The 3,075-nt window shown below is 49.4% G+C and overlaps 1 annotated feature.

The window, feature by feature from the left end:
* Positions 439–941: an enhancer, noted in NCBI's record as "H3K27ac-H3K4me1 hESC enhancer chr3:32981295-32981797 (GRCh37/hg19 assembly coordinates)". NCBI's record gives its function as "activates a minimal SCP1, AML or CMV promoter by ChIP-STARR-seq in primed H9 embryonic stem cells {active_cell/tissue: H9 hESC(primed)}" and the evidence as "EXISTENCE:reporter gene assay evidence [ECO:0000049][PMID:30033119]".

Raw genomic sequence — 3,075 nt, forward strand, 5'->3', positions numbered from 1 at the left:
TTCTCCCATAGCATCCAACCCCTTGAAACTCTGTCTCAAAAAAACAAAACACACACACACACAAACACACACACACACACACAAACGAGTATGTGAAAGCCCAGAAGAGAGCTGCCTCTTACATAGTCACTAATACTGAGAGGTGACAGCGTGCTGGCAGTCCTCAGAGCCCTCGCTTGCTCTCGGCGCCTCCTCTGCCTGGGTTCCCACTTTGGCGGCATTTGAGGAGCCCTTCGGCCCGCCGCTGCACTGTGGGAGCCCCATTCTGGGCTGGCCAAGGCCAGAGCCGGCTCCCTCAGCTTGCAAGGAGGTGTGGAGGGAGAGGCGCGAGCAGGAACCAGGGCTGCGAGCAGCGCTTGCGGGCCAGCTGGAGTTCTGGGTGGGCGTGGGCTTGGCTGACCCCGCACTTGGAGAAGCCCGCCAGCCCTGTCGGCCCCGGGCAGTGAGGGGCTTAGCACCCGGGCCAGCGGCTGCGGAGGGTGTACTGGGTCCCCCAGCAGTGCCAGCCCACAGGCGCTGCGCTCAATTTCTCGCTGGGCCTTAGCTGCCTTCCCACGGGGCAGGCCTCGGGACTGCAGCCCACCATGCCTGAGCCTTCCCCCGCCTCCGTGGGTTCCTGTGCAGCCTGAGCCTCCCCGACGAATGCCGCCCCCTGCTCCAGGGCGCCCAGTCCCATCGACCGCCCAAAGGGTGAGGAGTGCGAGCGCATGGCGCGGGACTGGCAGACAGCTCCACCTGCAGCCCCAGTGCGGGATCCACTGGGTGAAGACAGCTGGGCTCCTGAGTCTGGTAGGGATGTGGAGTCTTTATATCTAGCTCAGGGATTGTAAGCACACCAATCAGCACCCTGTGTTTAGCTCAAGGTTTGTGAATGCACCAATGGACACTCTGTATCTAGCTGCCCTGGTGGGGACGTGGAGAACCTTTATGTCTAGCTCAGGGATTGTAAATACACCAATCAGCACCCTGTGTTTAGCTCAAGGTTTGTGAGTGCACCAATCGACACTCTGTATCTGGCTGCTCTGGTGGGGAGGTGGAGAACCTTTATGTCTAGCTCAGGGATTGTAAATACACCAATCGGCACTGTGTATCCAGCTCAAGGTTTGTAAACACACCAATCAGCACCCTGTGTTTAGCTCAAGGTTTGTGAATGCACCAATCGACACTCTGTATCTAGCTGCTCTGGTGGGGCCTTGGAGAACCTGTGTGTCCAAATTCTGTATCTAACTAATCTGATGGGGACGTGGAGAACGTTTGTATCTAGCTCAGGGATTGTAAACGCACCAATCAGCGCCCTGACAAAACAGGCCACTGGGCTCTACCAATCAGCAGGATGTGGGTGGGGCCAGATAAGAGAATAAAAGCAGGCTGCCGGACCAGCATTGGCAACCCGCTGGGGTCCCTTTCCACAGTGTGGAAGCTTTGTTCTTTTGCTCTTTACAACAAATCCTGCTACTGTTCGCTCTTTGGGTTAACTGCTTTTATGAGCTGTAACACTCACTGTGACAATTTGCAGCTTCACTCCTCAGCCCAGCGAGACCACGAGCCCACTGAGAGGAACGAACAACTCCAGACGCACTGGTTTAAGAGCTGTAACACTTAACGAAGAAAGTCTGCAGCTTCACTCCTGAGCCAGCGAGACCCCGACCACATCTGAGACCCTGAGCACATCTGAACATAAGAAAGGACAAACTCCAGGCGCGCCACCTTAAGAGTTTAACAGTCACCGCGAGGGTCCGAGATTTCATTCTTGAAGTCGGTGAGACCAAGAACCCACTAATTCCAGATACAATACCAAAATGTCTGATCACCCAAGGATGCAATCCTTTAGAATATATTTTCTGTGCCAACAACCACCAATACCAATCAGGTTGTTTTTGTTGTTTTTTTTTTTAAGTTGAAGTTCTTTTGAATATTAACCCCTTGTTTGATATATGTTTGATATATAATTGGCAAATATTTTCTCCCATTCTGTGGGTTGTGTTGTCTTTTCATTTTTTTTTTTTTTTTTTTTTTTTTTTGAGATGGAGTCTTGCTCTGTTGCCTAGGCTGCAGTGCAGTGGTGTGATCTTGGCTCACTGCAAGCTCCGCCTCCCGGATTCACACCATTTTTCTGCCTCAGCCTGCCGCGTAGCTGGGACTACAGGCGCCTGCCACCACGCCTGGCTAATTTTTTGTATCTTTGGTAGAGACCGGGTTTCACTGTGTTAGCCAGGATCGTCTCGATCTCTTGACCTTGTGATCTGACTGCCTTGGCCTCCCAAAGTGCTGGGATTACAGGCATGAGCTACCACGCCTGGCCTTTTTTTTTTTTTTTTTTTTAAAGGCAGTGTCTGTCACCCAGGCTGGAGTGCAGTGGCACAGTCTTAGCTCACTGCAACCTCCACTTCTTCAGTTCAAGTGATCCTCCCACCTCAGCCTCCCAAGTAGCTAGGATTACAGGTGTGCACAACCACACCAGCTCAATTTTTTTTATTTTTAATAGAGACGGGGTTTTACCACGTTGGCCGTGCTGGTCTTGAACTCCTGACCTCAAATGATCTGCCTGCCTCAGCCTCCCAAAGTGCTGGGATTACAGGTGTGAGCCATTGTTCCCCACCTTCACTCTTTTGATGGTGCCCTTTGATGCATAGAAGTTTTAAATTTTGATGTAGTCCAATTAACCTATTTTTACTTTTATTAGCTGTACTTTTGGTACAAGAAATCACTGCCAAATCCATTGTCATGAAGTTTTTCCTCTATATTTCCCTCTAAGAATTTTATAGTTTTAGCTATTACATTTAGGTCTTTGACCCATTTCGAGTTAATTTTTATATATGATGTAAGGTTAAGGTCTAATTTTATTCTTTTGCATGTGAGTGTACAGTTTTCCTAGCATCATTTATTGAAAAGATATGCTTTCTCTATTGAATGGTCTGTCTGGCAACTTTCTCAAAAATAATTTGACCATGTCTCCCAGAGAATGTGCTAAGGGACACCATTATTATACAATGGGTATGTGACAGAGTAAAGGCAATGCAGAAAAAAATTAATTTAACCATACATATGAAGGTTTATTTCTGGGCTCTCTCTTCT

This window comes from Homo sapiens, chromosome 3, assembly GCF_000001405.40.
Source record: "Homo sapiens chromosome 3, GRCh38.p14 Primary Assembly".
NCBI lineage: Eukaryota > Metazoa > Chordata > Mammalia > Primates > Hominidae > Homo > Homo sapiens.